Source organism: Homo sapiens, chromosome 15 (genome assembly GCF_000001405.40).
Source record: "Homo sapiens chromosome 15, GRCh38.p14 Primary Assembly".
NCBI classification, from domain to species: Eukaryota; Metazoa; Chordata; class Mammalia; order Primates; family Hominidae; genus Homo; species Homo sapiens.
The window spans coordinates 75,095,975-75,117,522 of NC_000015.10; the positions used below are offsets into that span (position 1 = coordinate 75,095,975).

At 49.1% G+C, this 21,548-nt stretch overlaps 1 long non-coding RNA gene and 1 pseudogene across 1 annotated transcript, besides 4 other annotated features; both read left to right on the forward strand.

Moving 5' to 3' along the window:
• The first annotated feature begins 10,873 nt into the window (after nucleotides 1-10,873).
• On the forward strand, nucleotides 10,874-16,354 carry LOC124903529 (uncharacterized). Its single transcript, XR_007064720.1, has 2 exons — nucleotides 10,874-10,903; nucleotides 12,179-16,354. It is a non-coding gene; the product is annotated as an uncharacterized LOC124903529 (long non-coding RNA).
• Nucleotides 14,996-15,065: an enhancer, noted in NCBI's record as "active region_9831". NCBI's record gives its function as "activates an Ori minimal core promoter by ATAC-STARR-seq in GM12878 lymphoblastoid cells {active_cell/tissue: GM12878}" and the evidence as "EXISTENCE:reporter gene assay evidence [ECO:0000049][PMID:35858748]".
• Nucleotides 16,991-17,080: an enhancer, noted in NCBI's record as "active region_9832". NCBI's record gives its function as "activates an Ori minimal core promoter by ATAC-STARR-seq in GM12878 lymphoblastoid cells {active_cell/tissue: GM12878}" and the evidence as "EXISTENCE:reporter gene assay evidence [ECO:0000049][PMID:35858748]".
• Nucleotides 17,111-17,160: an enhancer, noted in NCBI's record as "active region_9833". NCBI's record gives its function as "activates an Ori minimal core promoter by ATAC-STARR-seq in GM12878 lymphoblastoid cells {active_cell/tissue: GM12878}" and the evidence as "EXISTENCE:reporter gene assay evidence [ECO:0000049][PMID:35858748]".
• Nucleotides 17,181-17,250: an enhancer, noted in NCBI's record as "active region_9834". NCBI's record gives its function as "activates an Ori minimal core promoter by ATAC-STARR-seq in GM12878 lymphoblastoid cells {active_cell/tissue: GM12878}" and the evidence as "EXISTENCE:reporter gene assay evidence [ECO:0000049][PMID:35858748]".
• Nucleotides 18,258-19,150, forward strand: LOC100128721 (stromal cell derived factor 2 pseudogene; annotated as a pseudogene).

The following is a 21,548-nucleotide window of genomic DNA, read 5'->3' on the forward strand; positions in this document are numbered from 1 at the left end:
GCATTTCCATTTGGTGCTGCATATGTTAACTAGCTTGATTTAGCCATTTCACAATGTCTACATATATCAAAACATCATTTGTATACCATAAGTATATATAATTTTTTTTTGGTCAACAAAAATAATAAAATTTCTATTTGGTTCTCTCTCTCTCTCTCTTCCTCCCTCTGTCCCTCTGTGCCAATGCCTGTAAGAATACTTTTTTATTGTTTTTGTTGAGACGGAGTCTCACTCTATCGCCCAGGCTGGAGTGCAGTGGCACGATCTAGGCTCACTGCAAGCTCTGCCTCCCGGCTTCATGCCATTCTCCTGCCTCAGCCTCCCAAGTAGCTGGGACTACAGGTGTCCGCCACCACGCCCGGCTAATTTTTTGTATTTTTAGTAGAGACGGGGTTTCACTGTGTTAGCCAGGATGTTCTCGATCTCCCGACCTCGTGATTCGCCCGCCTCGGCCTCCCAAAGTGCTGGGATTACAGGCGTGAGCCACCGCGCCCGGCCAATTCCAGCACTTTGGGAGGCCGAGGCAGGTGGCTCACGAGGTCAGGAGATGGGGACCATCCTGGCTAACACAGTGAAACCCCGTCTCTACTAAAAATACAAAAAATTAGCCGGGCGTGGTGGCGGGCGCCTGTGGTCCCAGCTACTCGGGAGGCTGAGGCAGGAGAATGGGGTGAACCCGGGAGGCGGAGCTGGCAGTGAGCCGAGATGGCGCCACTGCACTCCAGCCTGGGCGACAGAGCAAGACTCCGTCTCAAAAAAAAAAAAAAAAAATTGCTGTGATTACAGGCATGAGCCACCGCTCCCGTCCTTGACTGGTGATTTTCTACTGAAACCCAGACATGTTAGGTATTACGAGACTCTGGGTCTTACTGAAACCTTGCTTCCCACGCTGCTACTCCAGCACAGGAGGGGAGGTGCTGCCGCGTTGCTGTGAGGTGGAGGCGGAAGTCCAGGTTCCCCACTCAGCACCCATGGACTCTAGAGAAGGGGGCACTGTGCCTTACTTTGGAGGGTGTGGGAGTCCTAGATTCTACTAGACCAGCACTGGCTGTGCGGGGTGGGGGTGTCACCTTACTGCTCTTTCATGGCCTCCACTTTCACCATATTCTCAGGATGGCAGTGACCTTGGAGTGGAGAGAGGGGATGTGATTGGGCAGGAGACGCAGGAGGCTTCAAAAGAACTGTGAATGTTTTATTTTGTAGTTGAGCAGTAGGTATACAGATGTTTCTTTCTTTCTTTCTTTCTTTCTTTCTTTCTTTCTTTCTTTCTTTCTTTCTTTGAGACAGAGCCTCGCTTTGTTGCCCAAGCTGGAGTGCAGTGGCACAATCTCGGCTCACTGCAACCTCTGCCTCCCAGGTTGAAGCGATCCTCCTCCCTGAGCTTCCTAAGTAGCTGGGATTACAGGCGTGCACCACCACGCCCAGCTAATTTTTTTGTATATTTAGTAGAGACGGGATTGCACCATGTTGGCCAGGCTTGTCTCAAATTTCTGACCTCAGGTGATTCACCTGCCTCTGCCTCCCAAAGTGCTGGGATTACAGGCATGAGCCACTGTGCCCAGCCGGTATACAGGTATTAATTTTATTATTATTATATATTACGGAATGTTTTAAAAACAGAAAAACCTAACCACAACAGAGTAGAAATATGCTGTGTTTAGAATATTTGTAACACAGTTAGCTGAGCTCCTCAGACATAGCAATATCCATCGTCTGTAGTATTAAGCACTATCCATGTGCCAGGTGCTGTGCCAAGCACTTCACACACATCATCTTATTTATCCCTCACCACACTCCTAGGGGACAGATACTAACCCACTTTACATACAAGGAAGCTCAGGCTCAAAGAGGTTAAGTCGCTTGCCCAGAATCACAGAGTAATATGTGGCTGAGGTGGGACGGGAGCCCAGGCCTGTCTGCAGAGACTGTATTCTTCAACCCACAGCATCCGAACAAGGATGAAACCAATTAATATCATTCATTGTAATCATGGCATGCCATGTCCTACCCACAGCTGATAAAATCCGACAGAAAGCATTAGACTCCCACAGGATGGGTAATATGTCTTGGGAGGACCTTGTGGGCAAAGTGAATACAAGTGGCAGCTGCACCCAAACAAGCCCAGGGTCAGGACCCACCCAGGTGAGCAGAGCTTGGAATTAGCCAGTGAGGCAGGAGCTGTGGCTGAGGCCTGTCCAGCCGTGTGGCAGGGCTGTGAAGGCAGGCAGAATAGCAAGGGAGGGACGCCAGAGATGGGGAACCATGAAAGATGTCTCGCCTCCTGTTTCAGAGGGAGGGATCCAACTCGCGGGGCAAGAGCGGCTGGAACTGGAGGGAGAGAATAGTGTCTGCAAGAGCAGAATACCAGACATCAGAGTTAGCAATCCAGGCAGGAGCCAGAACCCAGGGCCACAGAGAGCATGGTCTGCCCTGTCCCACCGCTTTCTCTGTGACACAGGGGAAAGAGGTTACAGAAATTGAGTGATAATGGCTAAGGTGAATCAGCCACGAACTATAGCCCTCTCAGGAGCTGCAGGCCCTGCCCTACCCAGCCTGCCCAACTGGTGGGTGGCAAAGACCTGTCCACCCACTAGGACAGGGCAAGAGGCAGAGCTACCAGTTAGGAGCTCACGTGGTCACTGTCCATGGGAATGGTGGTTCAGGCCAACAAAATCAGATTGTCCAGCGACAATTGTCAATTCCCACTGTAAGGCCACAGCCCTGGGATGGGAATCCTGGTTGGACTACAGCTCACAGTCAAGGTTGGAGTATTTGTGTAGCCCAGATTCAGGCTGAGTCCCTAGCAGCTGAGAGCCTGCCTAGGATACAGGAAGTGTAGTTGGGCATCTCTGGGTTTAGACATCAAACAAGGAAGGGCGGGGTGAAATGAGGAAAAGTGACCAGGATGGCAAGGGACCCACACCTTCCCCTCAGAGCTGCTGCAAGGGCAGTTCTCCTAGCCCCAGTACATCCTAGGCGCCGGTTCACAGCTGGTAGCCTCCTGTAACCTGGACTAGCTGGACAAGTTGGGCCAAATAGATTGTTCCTTTGGAGTCTGATTATTATGAAATATTCTACTTTTTCTCTCATAATACTTCTTGACTTAAAGTTTGTATAATATTTCCATATTAGCTTTCTTGGGATTAGTGTTGACATGAAATATTGCTTTCTAACCTTTGACTTTCACCTTTTTATGTCCTTATATTTATATTTATTATATTTATTTATTTATTTATTTTTGAGACAGTGTCTCACTAGGTCTCCCAGGCTGGAGTGCAGTGGCTTAATCTTGGCTTACTGCAACTTCCGCCTCCCCATGTCCAAGCAATTCTCATGCCTCAGCCTCCTGAGTAGCTGAGACTACAGGTGTATGCCACCACGCCCGATTAATTTTTTTTTTTTTTTTGAGACCGAGTCTCACTCTGTCACCCAGGCTGGAGTGCAGTGGCGCCATCTCGGCTCACTGCAAGCTCCACCTCCTGGGTTCACACCATTCTCCTGCCTCAGCCTCCTGAGTAGCTGGGACTACAGGCGCCCGCCACCACGCCTGGCTAATTTTTTGTATTTTTAGTAGAGATGGGGTTTCACCATGTTGGCAGGCTGTTCTCAAATGCCTGACCTCAAGTGATCCGTCAGCCTTGGCCTCCCAAAGTGCTGAGATTACAGGCGTGAGCCATCGTGCCCAGCCTACGTCTATATGTGTATGTGTGTGTATATATATATATATATATAAATATATTTTGTTTGTTTGGTTTTTGTTTGTTTGTATAATATTTCCATATTAGCTTTCTTGGGATTAGTGTTGACATGAAATGTTGCTTTCTAACCTTTTGCTTTCACCTTTTTATGTCCTTATATTTATTATATTTATTTATTTATTTATGTTTGAGACAGCGTTCACGCCATTCTCCTGCCTCAGCCTCCCGAGTAGCTGGCACTACAGGCGCCCGCCACCATGCCCAGCTAATTTTTTTTGTTTTCTTTTTAGTAGAGATGGGGTTTCACCGTGTTAGCCAGGATGATCTCAATCTCCTGACCTCGTGATCTGCCCGCCTCAGCCTCCCAAAATGCTGGGATTACAGACGTGAGCCACTGCGCCCAGACTTAATCAATATTTTTTTAAATAATTTCATTTTGTTCTGCTGTTAGCTTTTTTTTTTTTTTTTTTTGATGGAGTCTTGCTCTGTTGCCAGGCTGGAGTGCAGTGGTGCGATCTTGGCTAACTGCAAGCTCCGCCTCCCGGGTTCAACAGGTTCAAGCCATTCTCCTGCCTCAGCCTCTGGAGTAGCTGGGATTACAGGCGCCCACCACCACACCCAGCTAATTTTTTTTTTTTTTTTTTTTGACAGAGTCTCGCTCTGTAGCCCAGGCTGGAATGCAGTGGCACAATCTTGCTCACTGCTACCTCTGCCTCCTGGGTCCCAGTTCAAGCAATTTTTCTGCCTCAGCCTCCCGAGTAGCTGAGATTACAGGCATGTGCCACCATGCCCAGCTAATTTTTGATATTTAGTAGAGACGGGGTTTCACCATTTTGGCCAGGCTGGTCTTGAACTCCTGACCTCGTGATCCACCCGCCTCAGCCTCCCAAAGTGCTGGGATTACAGGCGCGAGCCACTGCACCTGGCCTAATTTTTGTATTTTTAGTAGAGACAGGGTTTCACCATGTTGGGCAGGATGGTCTCAATCTCCTCACCTCTTGATCTGCCTGCCTCAGCCTCTCAAAGTGCTGGGATTACAAGCACGAGCCACTGTGCCTGGCCTACTGTTAGCTTTTTAATTGCATTTTCTTTTACTACTATTTTAGTGGTCATCTTAGAGATTATAAAATGCATCCTTGATTTATTTCAATCTACATTAAGTTAGAACATTTACAATTTATACTTAAATGATGCAATAACCTTATAACAGTTAACTCCCATTTAGTACCCACCCTCTTTGGTTTTATTGTTGTCATATATTTACTTTTTTGATTTTTTTTGAGACAGGGTCTTCCTGTGTTGCCTAAGCTGGAGGGCAGTGGCATGATCTTGGCTCACTGGAACCTCAACCTCCTGGGCTCAAACGATCCTCCTGCCTTAGCCTCTCCAGTAGCTGAGAACAGTAGCTGAGACCACAGGCATGCATTGCTGTGCCTGGCTAATTTTTTTTAAAATTTTTTATAGAGATAGGGTCTTGTTATGTTGTCCAGGCTGGTCTGAAAATCCTGGCATCGAGTAATCCTTCCACATGGGCATCCCAAAGTGCTGAGATTACAGGTGTGAGCCACCACACTGGGTCTCATATACTTGCTTTTATGTGAAAAATCTTATGAGATGTTGTTTTAAATAGCCAATATTTGATTCTCATTGGACACATTTTTACTCTTTCCTTGTGCTCTTCATTCCTTCTTGCAGTACCATCAGGGCTCATTTTCCATCAGCCTGAAAAATTCCCTCAGCCTGGGCAACATAGGGAGACCTCATCTCTACAAATACTTAAAAAAAATTAGTTGGATATGGCGGTGCACGGCTGTGGTCTCAGCTACTCAGGAGGTTGAGGCAGGGGGATAGCCTGAGCCCGAGAGGCCAGGGATGCAGTGAGCTGTGACAGCGCTACTGCACTCTAGCCTGGGTGACAGAGCGAGAGCGAGACCTGGTCTCAAAAAATAAAAGACAAAAACAAAAATAAACCTTCTCTAGTTTTTCTTTTCTTTTCTTTTCTTTTCTTTTTTTTTTTTTTTTTGAGACTGGGTCTTGCTCTGTCACCCAGGTTGGAGTGCAGTGGCACAATCACAGCTCACTGTAGCCTCGAACTGCAGGGTAGCTGGGACTATAAGTGTGCACCACCACTCCTGGCCAATTTTTTATTTTTTGTAGAGATGTGGTCTTACCATGTTGCTCATATGGTCTTGAATTTCTGGCGTCAAACAATCCTCCCAAAGTGCTGAGACAGGACCCATGAGCCACCGTGCAAACCTCCTCAAGTATTTCTTATAGTGCAGATGTGCACTAGTAACAAAGCACATTCTTTCCGCTTTTGTCTGTCTGACAACATGTTTCTTTTACTTTATTTTTTGAAGTGGGCATATAATTGTAGCTTGGCAGGTTTTTTTTTTAGCATTTTATTTTATTTTATTTTTGGAAGAGAGTCTGGCTCTGTTGCCCAGGTTTGAGTGCAGTGGCACAATCTCGGCTCACTGCAGCCTCGCCTCCTGGATTCAAGCGATTCTTATGCCTCGGCCTCCTGAGTAGCTGAGATTACAGGCATGCACCAGTATGCCCAGCTAATTTTTGTAGTTTTAGTAGAGATGGGGTTTTGCCATGTTGGCCAGGCTGGTCTTGAACTCCTAACCTCAAGTGATCTGCCTGCCTCGGCCTCCCAAAGTGTTGGGATCACAGGTGTGAACCACTGTCCCCAACTCTTTTTAGCATTTTAAAGATGTCATTTCATTATTGTCTGGCTTCCATAGTCTGCCATCAGTTGTATTGCTGGTATCTCTGTCTCTCTCTCTCTTTTAAAATGTGGTTTCTTTTAAGACTTTCTACTTTGTCTTTGATTTTCAGTAATTTAACTGTGATGAGGCTAAGTGTAGTTTACTTTATGCTTACTCTGCTTGGAGCTCATTGATATTCTTGAATCTATGGCTTGATGCCTTTCATCATATTTGTGGAATTCTCAGCCATTATTTCTTTTTCTTTTTTTTTTTTTTTTTTTTTGTTGAGACAGAGTCTCACTCTGTCACCCAGGCTGAAGTGCAGTGGCACAATCTTGGCTCACTGCAACCTCTGCCTCCTGGGTTCAAGTGATTCTCCTGCCTCAGCCTCCCAAGTAGCTGGGATTACAGGCACGAGCCACCATGCCTGGCTAATTTTTGTATTTTTAGTACAGACAGAGTTTCACCATTTTGGTCAGGGTGGTCTCGAACTCCTGACCTCAGGTGATCCGCCCTCCTTGGCCTCCCAAAATGTTGGAATTACAGGGATGAACCACCACGCCCAGCCTTCTTTGTCTTTTCTTTTCTTTTCTTTCTTTCTTTTTTTTTTTTTTTTTGAGACAAGGTCTCATTCTGTTGCCCAGGCTGCTGGAGTGCAGTGGTGCAGTCATGGCTCACTGCAGCCTCACCCTCCCTGGCTGATGTGATCCTGATCCTCCCACTAAAGTAGCTGGAACTACAGTTGTACACCACTATGCCTGGCTAATTTTTGTATTTTTTGTAGAGACAGGGTTTTGCCATGTTGGCTAGGCTGGTCTTGAACTCCTGGGCTCAAGTGATCCTCCCACTTCAGCCTCCCAAAGTGCTTGGAATACAGTCGTGAGCTACCATGCCCAGCCCATTATTTCTTCAAATACTGCTTCTCTCCTATTCCCTCTCTTCTCTCCTTAAGGAATTCCAAACACGTATGTTAGACCTTTTGAGCACATCCCGTGCATCTCTTATACTCAGTTCTGTTTTTCCTTCTATTATTCTTTTTGCTTTGTGCTTCAATTTGAATAATTTCTATTGACTGGTCTTTAAGTTCACGAGTCTTGCCTTCTGCTGTATATAGTCTTTTGCTAAACCTATCCAGTGAGTTCTTAATTTCAAATATATTTTGCAGTCCAAAATGTCAGTTTTTTGGCTGGGTGCAGTGACTCATGCCTGTAATCTCAGCATTTTGGGAGGCTGAGGCAGGTGGATCACTTAAGCTCGGGAGTTTGAGACCAGCCTGGGCAACATGGCAAAACCCTATCTCTACAAAAAATACAAAAAATATCTGGGTGTTCCCTTTTCCCTTCCCCTTCCCTTTCTTTTCCTTTCCTTTTCTTTGACGGAGTCTCGCTGTGTCGCCCAGGCTGGAGTGCAGTGGCACAATCTCAGCTCACTGCAACCTCCTCCTTCTGGTTTCAAGTGATTCTCCTGCCTCAGCCTCCTGAGTAGCTGGGATTACAGGCACCCGCCACCACGCCTGGCTAATTTTTGCTTTTTTTTTTTTTTTTTTTTTTTTTGAGACAGAGTCTCACTGTGTTGCCCAGGCTGGAGTGCAGTGGCACGATCTTGGCTCACTGCAAGCTCGCCTCCTGGGTTCAAGCGATTCTTCTGCCTCAGCCTCCTAAGTAGCTGGGAGTACAGGTGCATGCCACCACGCCCAGCTAATTTTTGTATTTTTAGTAGAGACGGGGTTTCACCATATTGGCCAGGCTGGTCTCGAACTCCTGACCTCATGATCCGCCCGCCTCGGCCCCCCAAAGTGCTGGGATTATAGGCGTGAGCCACATCGCCCGGCCAATTTTTGCATTTTTAGTAGAGATGGGGTTTCACCATGTTGGGCAGGCTGGTCTCAAACTCCGACCTTGTGTTCCACCCACCTTGGCCTCCCAAAGTGCTGGGATTACAGGCATGAGCACCACACCCGGCCAGATACTTATTTTCTTGGCCCATTGAGACTGTGACTTCCTGCTTGGTCCACTTCCTTGCACCTGAGTTTGGGAAATGGCTTCATGGAGAAAGCAATTTAAATGTGAGGCTTGTCCAGGCGAGGTGGCTCATGCCTGTAATCCCAGCACTTTGGGAGGCCGAGGCAGGTGGATCACCTGAGGTCAGGAGTTTGAGACCAGCCTGGCCAACATGGCAAAACCCCATCTCTACTAAAAATACAAAAATTAGCTGGGCGTGGTGGCACACGCCTGTAGTCCCAGCTACTTGGGAGGCTGAGTCAGGAGAATCACTTATATCCAGGAGGCAGAGGTTGCAGTGAGCCAAGATCATGCTACTGCACTCCAGCCTGGGGGACAGAGTGAGACCCTGTCTCAAAAAAAAAAAAAGTGAGGCTCACCTCATGTGCATTCCTTCTCCAACGACCATAACCCTGCATTGGCTGCTGTCCAGTGCCTACAAACTGTTGTTGGATATTCTATTTTGCCCAGTATTTATGGTTGTTTACCATGGTAGGGTAAATCTGAGATCAATGAGTCTGCCTTGGCTGGAATCAGGTTTCTCCCTCAGGGGTTTGAGTGGTTGAGGCTAAGTTGAAAGGGTGTGTTTCAGAGCAGCCACAAAGCTGTCTGGACTCTGAGGTCATGCCCAGGAAGCTGAGAGATGAGGAAATGGAAAAAATGAGTTTGCGGAAGCTGGGAGGACAAGAAAAAGCTGAACAAATGCAGGGTGGTTGTGGGGTGTTTGTGAGGGAAGGGAGCGGATGCTGAGAGAGCTCAGGAAGTGCCATAGGACCACTCACCACACCCTGTTGTCTTGAATCCCTAGTGCCCACACGCAGTACCACTCTCCAGCCCCAGGGTCCATGCCTGGACAAGGTCCAGGTCCTACTCTTGGAGTCCTGTGAGGGCCTGTCTCCCTTACTGATAATAATCCCCCAGACTCAAGGGAATCCAAGGGACCTGCTGATCTGGCAACCAAAAGGACTCAACCTCCCACCACCCCAACAGGTAAAGAAACCAAGGCACAGAGAGGTTAGGTTCCCTTCTGAGGGCCACACAGGAATAAGTTGTACAGCCAGGATAAATACCCACATACTGTAAACTCATGAGCCTGAGCTCTTAACAAATGGGTTCTCCTACCTCCCATGAACAAGCACAATCCAGTCTCTTCTCATGAAAGAAAACCTTCTGGACTCAAGCCCCCAAGGCGGCCCATGAGCTCAAGTAGCCTGTGCCCCCTGCACCCTTGGAAGGCATGAGCTTCCTTGGGCCTATACATGGAAGACAAGGCTCTGAACAGGTAGCAAAAGGTCTGGTTATGAACCTTGCTCTGTTAATGATTTGCTCGGGAACCCCAGGCAAGTCACCGTCCTTCTCTGAGCCTCAGTTTTCCCCAACACTTGTGAGGCTATTGTAAATTGATGATAAACCCATGTGGGAGGCTGGGCATGGTGGCTCATGCCTGTAATCCCAATACTTTGGGAGGCCGAGGCTGGTGGATCACTTGAGGTCAGGAGTTGGAGACCAGCCTGGCCAACATGGTGAAACCCCGTCTCTACTAAAAATACAAAAATTAGCCAAGCATGATGGCGCACACGTGTGGTCCCAGCTACTCGGGAGGCTGAGGCTTGAGAATTGCTTGAACCCGGGAGACAGAGGTTGCAGTGAGCTGAGATTACGCCACAGCATTCCAGCCTGGGCAACAGAGCGAGACTCTGTCTCAAAAAAAACAAAACACAAAAACCTATGTGGGAAACAGCCCTTGGGGCTCCCGGTGCCCAGCAGTGCCGGGCCTGTCACTGACCTTGCTCTAGGATGATTCACAGGGACGTCGTGGGTGGCCAGAGGGCTCGTGGGTGGCCAGAGGGCCCCTTGCCTGCAGCAGCAAGAGCAGAATGGCTGGTGTGCCAAGCTTCGGGGCACCAGTGGGCAATAGGAGAATTCTGTCAGTGCTGGGGAAGGGAGTAAGGAAGCAAGAACAGCCTTCAGGCGTGGGTCTCCCAGCCACAGGGGCTGTAGGGGAGACCCCGGAAGGAGGATGGGGCAGCTGTCTTAGAATACCAATCACCCAAAGGAGCCCATATTCCATGTTTACCAGGAGTACCAGGGTCCTCAATATCGTCTTCACTTGCATTTATTTGCATTTTTTGCTTATAATTTGTCATTTGGTGGGGTCTCATTTCATATCACAGTCTCTACTTTTTCCTCCCTATTTGGGCACAGGGAGAGGTGGACCTTCAGCTAAGTCCTCCTCGGGGAATTTCATTTTAACTCTCAATATACCTTCAGACTCCATTAGACCCAATTTTAATTTTAATTTTTAACCAACCTTTCTTTCTTCTTTCCTTTCCTTCGTTCTTTCTTTCTTTCTTTCTTTCTTTTTTTTGACAGGGTCTCACTCTGTCTCCCAGGCTAGAGTGCAGTGGCACAATCTCAGCTCACTGCAACCTCTGCCTCACAGGTTCAAGCCATCCTCCTGCCTCAGCCTCCCGAGTAGCTGGGACAACAGGTGCGTGCCACAACGCCTGGCTAATTTTTGTATTTTTTGGTATTCTTATTTTTAGTAGAGAGGGGGTTTTGCCATGTTGCTCAGGCTGGTCTTGAACTCTTGAGCTCAGTGATCTGCCTCCCTCGACCTCCCAAAGTGCTGGGATTACAGGCATGAGCCATCATGCCTGGTTGAAGTTTCTTTTTTGAGCAGTTCAAACGATTTATGAGGATTATTTTATTACTTTTATTTTTTCACGGAGGTCTCCCAAAACCAAAGAGAACTTTTATTTATTTATTTATTCATTTATTTTTTTGAGATGGGGTTTCGCTCTTGTTGCCCAGGCTGGAGTGCAATGGCACAATCTCAGCTCACTGCAACCTTCACCTCCCGGATTCAAGTGATGCTTCTATCTCAGCCTCCCAAGTAACTGGGATTACAGGTGCCTGACACCATGCCCAGCTAATTTTTTTTTTGTTGTTGTTAGTAGAGACAGTGTTTCACCATGTTGGCAGACTGGTCTCAAACTCCTGACCTCAGGTAATCCTCCTGCCTTGGCCTCTCAAAGTGCTGGGATTACAGGCGTGAGCGACTGCACCTGTCCACTTTCTTTTTTTTTTTTTTAATAAAAAAGAATGAAGGGCTGGGTGTAGTGGCTCATGCCTGTAATTTCTGCATTTCCAGAGGCCAAGGAGGGCAGATTGCTTAAACTCAGGAGTTCGAGACCAGCCTGGGCAACAGGGTGAAACCCTGCCTCTATGAAAAAATACAAAAATTATTTGGGCTCAGTGGCACACCCCTGTACTCCCAGCTACTTGGGAGGCTGAGGTGGGAGGATTACTAAGCCCAGGATGCAGAAGTTGCAGTGAGCCGCTGCACTCCAGCCTGGATGACAGAGGAGACCCTGCCTCAAAAAAAAAAAAAAAAAAAAAAAGAAGAAGCTTATTTTATCTTGTAATTATCATATGGATCTACTGGATCATTTGTAAATCTAAAATATATTATGAGATCTTCATGATCTTATTTTTCCTATATCATAAAACATTTTGCTATTGTATTCCCTCAGGAACTATTTCATCATTACTCATCAATTATTCCCAACCCATGCTTTGAAAAAAAGACTAAAATAGTAAGAAAACAGAAGAATGATGGAATTGCCTGAATGACTCAATAGTGACATGAGTCATTGCTATTTCACCAATTTTCAGTTTTCTTATTGCCTTGTCCAAAGCATTAGGACCGTCTTTCAAGAAAGTGTAAAAAGTCCAGAGATATCATCTTTGTATTTTTTTTTAGCTTTCATTGCACACAGTTAAGAATTCAGAATTGTTCATTTTCCTACAAAGAGGAAAGAGAAGGAAACTGACAGAGGAAGACATTTCACAGCTATTAGAGCAATCAGTAGATGAATGCAACGCGACAAACAGCAGCACTCTAGACTGTAATGATGAGGTAAAAGCATCGTATGAGCAAAATCTTCAGATGATGACATCATGCATGAATTTTCTCAAACCCAAGAATTGTCCCTATTTTCCCAGGGGTAGGGGAGAACTAGAGAGGGATGGCTCTTTGCCCAGGGTCACTCAGCTCTTGCTCTGTCCTGTTGCTCAGAGATCTGTGACTGAGCCAGCCCCTCCTGTAGCATACAGTAGATGCTGCCCCGCAGGATGGGACAGGGCTGGACCTTGAGGTGAAGAGGCTGTCTGGATACCTGCTCCTGACTGCTAGCTCTTCGCCCACCTCACCTGCCACCTGTCCTTTGGCGTTGGGTTCTTGAGGCCGTGGTTTCCCTCTGGGTGGTGACTCAGTGCCCACAGCCCGCCTTGCATGTGATCTTCCCCTCCCCTGGGCCTCACTGACTGCCCCAGCAAGAGGCAGCTGTGGTTTCCCCTGAAGCAGCAACCACGAACTGCCAAGCCCACCCCACCCCTCCGTGTCCTAGCCCCAACCTCGGGGCCTCAGCTGAAGGAGAGATGGGGAGGCCTCATAGGCCCATGGCACTTGGTGTTTACAACGAGCTTAGCCCTCACAGCATGAGTGTGGAAAGTATTATCCCTATTCAATTGATGAGGAGAGTGAGGCCAACATGTGTGAGGGGCTTATTTCATTTATGCATTCATTTATTCTACAAGCGTCTCTCAAAAGCCCACTAAAACCCAGGACAGTAGACCCAGAGACACGATGTCCAGATGTACCTCAGGAAGGACTGGCCCTGGCGGCGGGAGGGTCGTGAGTGCTCAGCTCTCCAGGGATTGCCCCCAGCTGCAGAGATTTGCCTCCTCTGCCTCGGCCTCCCATGCCTTTCTCTGGGCAGCCTCATATCCAAGGACTAATCCAGCTGGGTACTAATTCAGGCCCGGCTATTTAAGCCCTGTGTGGGGCGGTGACAGGTCATTCGGAGCTCCCAGTGAGGCAGCTGAGGCCAGGGTTGGGCCTGTCTTGCAGCTGGACTTCTTCTCCCTCTGCCCAGTTTGGCCTCTTTGCCTTCCCTTCTCCAGGTGCTGTCTGCAAGAGCTCTCCCTAACAGACATCCCTCACAGTAACTCCGAGCCCAAATCCACTTCCTGAGGAACCCACCCTGCAACCCTCGGCTTTCAAAGAGTGGCCAGCCTCATGGCACAGAGGCATGTAAACCACCCGGGTGGGGAGAGAATAGGCCCAGGGAGACACAGCCACCGGGGCCCAGAAAGCTGGCTTTGGTTTTGTGGGGGGTGTGGGCCGCAGAGTTCAGGATTGGGGCGTGGCAGCAAGGCAGGGGCCCAAGCGCCTGAAAACCACAGCCCACCCCCTTGGCTTGGAGAAGGGCGAGGTCCCCACCTGTCTACCATGATTTTCTCAGACCCAGTCTGCTCCAATAAGCAGCCCCCGCTCGGCTGGACCGTCTCCCAATTTCCCTTCCCAAATACATACTCTGACTGTGGGTCTAGATGCCTCCTACATCCTGAGTGCCTTGTGGCCAGCCAGCAGCAGCAGCAGAGCTGCCCAGAGGAACTGTGCTGGATCTAGTAGGGGGAGAAGGGAGAACAGGCCCTTCTGGGACCCCAAGATCCCGTGCAGGGAGCACATCTGGGTTCCAAACCCACAAAAGGAAACGTGGCCAAGAAAGCAACCAATCTCCACCCCCGGCAGGGTTGGGCTGCACCGCCATACTGTGACTGTGCTGGCTACAGTCCCATGGCGATGGGGAACTCACAGCCCCGTGCCCCTCCAACCAGAGGTCCCTGGGCTGGGCAACTTAGATAATTAGGAAGGTCTTCCTTCCCTTAAGGTCCTCCTCTGGCCTCTGGAGCTATGGGATCTGCTGTTCTTTGGTACCAGTAATCCACATGTGAGGCCCCATTTTTCTCCTAAGTCACTGTAGGATCTTGGGCCTCAGTTCTCCATCTGTTTAGCAAGGGAGAGCAGAGGAGAGCCAGTCCTTCCACTTCCCACCTGCCCTGACATTTTATGACTCAGTGATACACTGACGCCTGTCCCGTTCTGCCTCCTTGCCTTCTCTCCTCCAAGTTGCCCAGCTCCATCACCTTCCCTGCCCCTCCCTTGACCTTCCACCTCCCCTGGGCTGACAAGAGCTGAGGGTGGTCAGAAGTCGGCCCGGCTTCCCACCTGACACAGAGGACTGCTCGAAGGAGATGCTGGTCACTAAGAGCAGGGCAGCAGCTGTAACAAGCCAGCATTCTGGAAGCTCCTGGAAATCATATTGCAGAATGCTGGCCTGGCAAGGGGTGAGGGTAAGGGTCTAGGGTGGGGAACAGTGAGTTCTATATAGCAGGGGAGCCAGGACAAGTGCTGTCCATGCTGGAATGCTTCGTTCTGAGCAAGAATGACATCACAGACAACCCCTGCTCCATGCTTATTACCATGGGCTGCCCAAACCCCCACCCACACAGGGAGGGCAGCGGGAGGGGACAGAAATGAATGGGCACAAGCTGTGGCATAAATTCTGGTGGAGGATGGAGGGAAACGATGCCAGAGCATCTAGCCAGGCCATAGCCTCACAAGCTCTGTCCCTGAGACAGGATTTCTGCAACACTGGAGAGGGATGGTACCCAGCCATCCATGACTTCTGTGCCAGGCCCGACTTGTGTTTAATTGTATACATTATTAATGGAACTGGTGGCAAGGGGCTGGGGCTCAGTCTGTGACCAGCATCAGGGCTCAGTCTATGACCAGGTTCAGTGCTTTATCTAGGACCAGGACCAAGACTCATTCTGTGGTAGGATCAGGGCTTAGTGAGTGATCAGGATGAGAGCTCAGTCTGTGACGAGATCATGGGCTCAAGCCTATAGCTCACATTAAGGATCCCCTCCGGGTGGGGCTCAGAGCCAGGGACATTGTGGAAAGTGTCTGAAGGCAAGGTGGGGTCAGCTGGGAGAGAGGGGAGAAGTGGAAGCATGAAGGCCAAGAGGTCCCTGGGCCTGAGGCCAGCTGTGTGAAAACAGAAAAGAGAGTCAGGACTCCAGCTCTGCCACTCACTGGCTGTGTGATTTTGGAGAGTTACTTCCCTTTTTGAGGTCTATGTTGTCTTGTGCGTAAAATGGGAATATTAGGCCGGGCACAGTGACTCACACCTGTAATCCCAGCACTTTGGGAGGCCGAGGCAGGCAGATCACGAAGTCAAGAGATTGAGACCATCCTGGCCAACATGGTGAAACCCCGTCTCTACTAAAAATATAAAAATTAAAGCCCAGGCGAGGTGGCTCACGCCTGTAATCCCAGCACTTCGGGAGGCCGAGGTGGGAGGATCACGAGGTCAGGAGATCAAGACCATCCTGGTTAACACGGTGAAACCCCATCTCTATTAAAAATACAAAAAATTAGCCTGGCATGGTGGTGGGCGCCTGTAGTCCCAGCTGCTGGGGAGGCTGAGACAGGAGAATGGTGTGAACCCAGGAGGCAGAGCTTGCAGTGAGCCAAGACTGCACCACTGTACTCCAACCTGGGCAACAGAGTGAGACTGTCTCAAAAAAGACAAAAAATGAGCTAGGCGTGGTGGCAAGCACCTGTAGTCCCAGCTACTTGGGAGGCTGAGGCAGGAGAATCACTTGAACCCGGGAAGCAGAGGTTGCAGTGAGCCAAGATCACGCCACTGCACTCCAGCCTGGCAACAGATCAAGACTCCGTCTCAAAAAAAAAAAAAGGGGGGGAATATTAGTTAGGTGCAGTGGCTTACAACGTTAATCCAGCACTTTGGGAGGCCAAGGCGGGAGGACAGATTGAGCCTAGGAGATTTGAGACCAGCCTGGGCAACACAGTAAGACCCTGTCTCTATAAAAAATTTAAAAGGTAGCTGGGCATGGTGGGGCCCGCCTGTAGTCCCAGCTACTTGGGCGGCTGAAGCAAGAGGATCGCTTGCGCCCAGTAATTCAAGGTTGCAATGAGCTACAATTGGGCTACTGGGCTCCATCCTGGGTGACAGAGTGCGACCTTGTCTCTGAAAAATAATAATAATAAAATTTTTAAAAGTGGGAATTTTGACTTCTGTTCTGCCTTTGAGATAGAGTCTTGCTCTGAGTCACCAACATGCAAGTTACTATTTCACAAAGCACCAAGAACCCTTATCAATACCTGCCTCCCAAGATTATTCACAGGAGTGAGAATGCACTTCATGAGACAGCAGAAAAAATGGGGAGGGGTTGTTTGCTCAATTTCCAAAGGAGAATTGCTTCAGACAGGAAAATCTCAAAAGGAAACAGCCTTACTGTTGTCATGGCTTCTCCTCACAGTTCTTCTGGTCAGTTTTTATTCCCCAAAATAATGTGTACAGAGTATTTACAGTCAGAGAATGCTAAAGGATTACAACAAAAATAACACGCTCTTTACCCCACGTCAGCCTGCTCGCCAAAAGCAGCCATTTCAACTTATTCAGTTGTTTCTTCTGGTTTTTACTCCCTAAATAAAGCATTGATTTCAATTCTGGTTATCTCCCAAGAGGTCCAATTTAGATGCTGTCTCTAGGGCTCCCTATTGTGACAGAGGAGGTTCACTTACACTCTTTCTCCTCTCCTTTCAATATCATACCACCACAACTCTTGGTTACATTCACAATCACTAAAAAGTGTTTATGGCTGAAACAACTAATATACTATCTTTTTCAATCTCCTTTCCCCCACAGAGTTAATCATTGTCTCATTTTTTTCACTTGCTTATTTTCTTTGACCCATGATTAGATCTTCTGCAAAAGCCCAGTAAGATAATTCTCAATACTGATTTTCACTATCAGTTCCAGTTCCTTAATTTTTTTTTCCCTTGAGACACCCTTTCTGGAGCCCTCAGTTCTCCTGCCTCCATCTGAGCCAGAAGCTTTCCAGATCAGCAGCACAGTCGTCATCCAGAGGCTTCCCTTTGCCAACATTCTGCAACGTCATTTCTTCTCTTTCCTCTATGGATCTCTGATTTTTCTGGGTTCCATTTCTTCTTTCTTGGTTTATGCCCTTTTAGGGTGGAGCACATCCTCCAGTTCCTTCCTGAGGAAGTTTTCACGGAAGACAATTTTTTTTTTTGTCTGAAAATGTCTTATTTTCTACCCTCACACTGGGTTGATACTTTGGCTGGGTATATAATGATTTTCCCTCAGCAACTTTAAGGCATTGTTTCATAAACTTCTAGTTTCTAATATTGCTGTTGAGAGGTCTAATACTGATCTGGCTCAGATTCTCTCTCTCTCTCTTTTTTCCTTTTTTTTTTTTTTTTTGAGATAAGAGTCTTGCTCTCTTGCCCAGGCTGGAGTGCAGTGGCACGATCTCGGCTTACCTCCACCTCCCAGGTTCAAGGGACTTTTGTGCCTCAGCCTCCCAGGGAGCTGGGACTAGCACCACCACACCCAGATAATTTTTGTAATATTCTTCCCCTGAGATGGAGTCTTGCTCTGTCACCCAGGCTGGAGTGCAGTGGTGTGATCTCGGCTCACTGCAACCTCCACCTCCCGGGTTCAAGCAATTCTCCTGCCTCAGCCTCTCGAGTAGCTGGGATTACAGGTATGAGCCACTATGCTACCCATTTTTTTTTTTTTTTTTGAGACAGGGTCTCACTCTGTCGCCCAGGCTGGACTGCAGTGGCACAATCACAGCCCACTGCAGCCTTGACTTCCCAGGATCAAGCAATCCTCCCACTTCAGCCTCCCGAGTAGGTGGGACTACAGGTGTATGCCACCACCCTTGTCTAATTTTTTTAGTTTTTTGTAGAGCTGGGCCTCACCATGTTGCCCAGGCTGTTCTTGAACTCCTGGGCTCAACAATCCTCCCACCTTCGCCTCCCCAAATGCTGGGATAACAGGCATGAGCCACGGGGCCCAGCCAATCTTTAAGTTCTTTAAACAAATGTTTCAGTTTTCAGAGTATATGTTTTGCCTTTCTTTAAAAAAAATTTATTTCTGGAAGATCTGGGGCTCCGAATCCAGCTAGGATGGCTGTGGTTCCGCTACTGCTGTCTGGGGGTTTGTGGAACACCGTGGGAGCGTCCAATCTGGCTGTTACTCGCGGCTCTATGGTGAAGCTGCTCGAAATGCACTACAGTGTCCATCTGCAGTCACACGATGTGCTCTATGGGTCAGGTACTGGGCAGCAGTCAGTGACAAGTGTAACCTCCATGGATGACAGCAACAGTTACTGGAGAATATGGGTAAGATCACCACAGCTGGTGAGAGGGGAACCCCCATCAAGTGCTGCCAGCCCATCCGGCTGACACATGTCAACACTGGCTGAAACCTCCACAACTTTCTGAAAACCAGGAAGTGGGTGCTTTTGGTGAGGAAGGTGAAGGTAGTCACCTGGATGACTGGACCATACTCTGTAACGGGCCCTACTGGGTGAGAGATGGTGAGGGGTGGTTCAAACATTCTTCCATTGAGGAACCGCTGTCTGTCACAGGAGAACGATATGGTGGACCCATCAGTGGGCAAAAAGAGACGCATGGTCTGGCCTAGCCAAGCCGAGCAACGACTGGAAAGCCATGGAAGGCATCTTCATGAGGCCCAGTGAGTTGTTGAAGGCAGGAGGCCACCATGCAGAGGTAGGAGTCTGGAGGCTCTGAGCCACTGTCACTACACAGTTTGTAGACATCTGTGCTGCTTCACCTTGGGATCCCTGCCACAAGTTCCCCAGGAGTGGCCATGTTACTACTGAGATGAAGATGTGCAATGGAAAACAGTGGCTGTGTTCACAAGCTCCAGCCCTGCACATTTGAATTGGCTGCTCTCCCAGACTTGGGTCAGTACTTTCTGAGTAGAGGACTTGCTGGTGACAGGGTGGATGCTTTTTATTCATACTGGTGTGTCCGGAATTGGTGGGTTCTTGGTCTCACTGACTTCAAGAATGAAGCCACGGACCCTTGCGGTGAGTGTTACAGTTCTTAAAGGCGGTGTGTCCGGAGTTTGTTCCTTCTGATGTTCGGATGTGTTTGGAGTTTCTTCCTTCTGGTGGGTTCCTGGTCTCACTGGCTCAGGAGTGAAGCTGCGGACCTTTGCCGTGAGTGTTACAGCTCTTAAGGCGGTGCGTCTGGAGTTGTTCGTTCCTCCCGGTGGGTTCGTGGTCTCGTTGGCTTCAGGAGTGAAGCTGCAGACCTTTGCTGTGAGTGTTACAGCTCATAAAAGCAAGGTGGACCCAAAGAGTGAGCAGCAGCAAGATTTGTTGCAAAGAGCGAAAGAACAAAGCTTCCACAGTGTGGAAGGGGACCCGGGTTGCCACTGCCAGCTCGGGCAGCCTGCTTTTATTCTCTTATCTGGCCCCACCCACATCCTGCTGAGTGGTAGAGTCCAGTGGTCTGTTTTGACAGGGCGCTGATTGGTGCGTTTACAATCCCTGAGCTAGACACAAAGGTTCTCCACGTCCCCACCAGATTAGCTAGATACAGAGTGTGGCCACAAAGGTTCTCCAAGTCCACTCTGTATCTACCAGAGTAGCCAGATACAGAGTGTCCACTGGTGCATTCACAAACCCTGAGCGAGACACAGCGTGCTGATTGGTATGTTTACAAACCTTGAGCTAGATACAGAGTGCCAATTGGTGTATTTACAATCCCTTAGCTAGACATAAAGGTTCTCCAAGTCCCCACCAATCTCAGGAGCCCAGCTGGGTTCACCCAGTGGATCCTGCACCGGGGCTGCAGGTGGAGCTGCCTGCCAGTCCCGCGCCGTGTGCCCGCACTCCTCAGCTCTTGGGTGGTCCATGGGACTGGGCGCCTTGGAGCAAGGGGTGGCGCTCCTGGGGGAGGCTCCGGCAGCACAGGAGCCCACGGAGTGGGGTGGAGGCTCAGGCATGGCGGGCTGCAGGTCCCGAGCCCTGCCCCGTGGGAAGGCAGCTAAGGCCCGGCGAGAAATTGAGCACAGAAGCTGCTGGCCCAGGTGCTAAGCCCCTCACTGCCCGGGGCGGTGGGGCCGGCCGGCCGCTCCGAGGTCCGCTGAGCCCACGCCCACCCGGAACTCGCGCTGGCCCGCAAGCACCGCGCGCAGCCCGGGTTCCCGCCGCGCCTCTCCCTCCACACCTCCCGGCAAGCTGAGGGAGCCGGCTCCGGGCTTGGCCAGCCCAGAAAGGGGCTCCTACAGTGCAGCGGCGGGCTGAAGGGCTCCTCAAGTGCCGCCATAGTGGGAGCCCAGGCAGAGGAGGCGCGGAGAGCGAGCCAGGGCTGTGAGGACTGCCAGCACGCTGTCACCTCTCACTGGTAAGACACACTGAGGGGACATCCCTCTTAGCTGTGAAACTTCTAGTCCTCAGGAGCTTGGCGTCCTGGATTGTTAAACTTCATGACTTTATCCCAATTTTCTTTCTCCAAAATGATGTTTTTTTTGAGACAATCTTGCTCTGTCGCTTAGGCTGGAGTGCCATGGCCTAACTCAGCTCACTGCAACCTCCGCCTCCCGGGTTCAAGCAATTCTCTTGCCTCAGCCTCCCAAGTAGCTGGGATTACAGGTGCCCGCCACCACACCCGGCTAATTTTTGTATTTTTAGTAGAGACAGGATTTTACCATGTTGGCTAGGGCTGGTCTCTTAACTCCTGGCCTCAACTGATCCACCCCCCTCAGCCTCCCAAAGTGCTGGGATTACAGGTGTGAGCCGCCATGTCGGGCCTCCAAAATGATTTTTTTTTTTTAAAGAAAGAATTTTATTATTAGCCTCTGTGTTATTTATTAGGTGTGCTATTTCATGATTTGCTTTATCCTTGAGTCCTAAAACTCTTTTGAGATGCTGGGAACCTTCAATGTGGGGGCCTTTTAAGAGCTTTAGTTGCATCCGAACCTTTTCTCTTTCTACTTTCATTTCTCCGCAGGTACCTCATTTTTAATAGATTTTTGACTAATTATGGCCAAAGACTCTCAAAGAATACAACACAATAAACAGCCAAATAATTTTATTCCTAAGTTGTTGGGGTGATCAGACCCAACACCAGGCCGTGGGGGATATGAAGTCCCGCGGAATCAAACCCATGAGAAAAGACAAGAGAGAAAGTCGGACCAGGGGCCCAACTATAGGGAGGCTGGGAAGGCCCTGAGCTCTGGGAGCCCAGGCTATTTATTGGTGATCAAACAAAGAAACAGGTGTTGAGGATTGTAAGGAAGCAGTGTATCAAGCGAATGAGCTACAGCTGTGATGGTTTAGCATTTTCTTTGAAACATATGGCTACTTGAGATAATGGGAGTGCTAGAAGCAAGGAGCCAGCAAATCTAGGCACA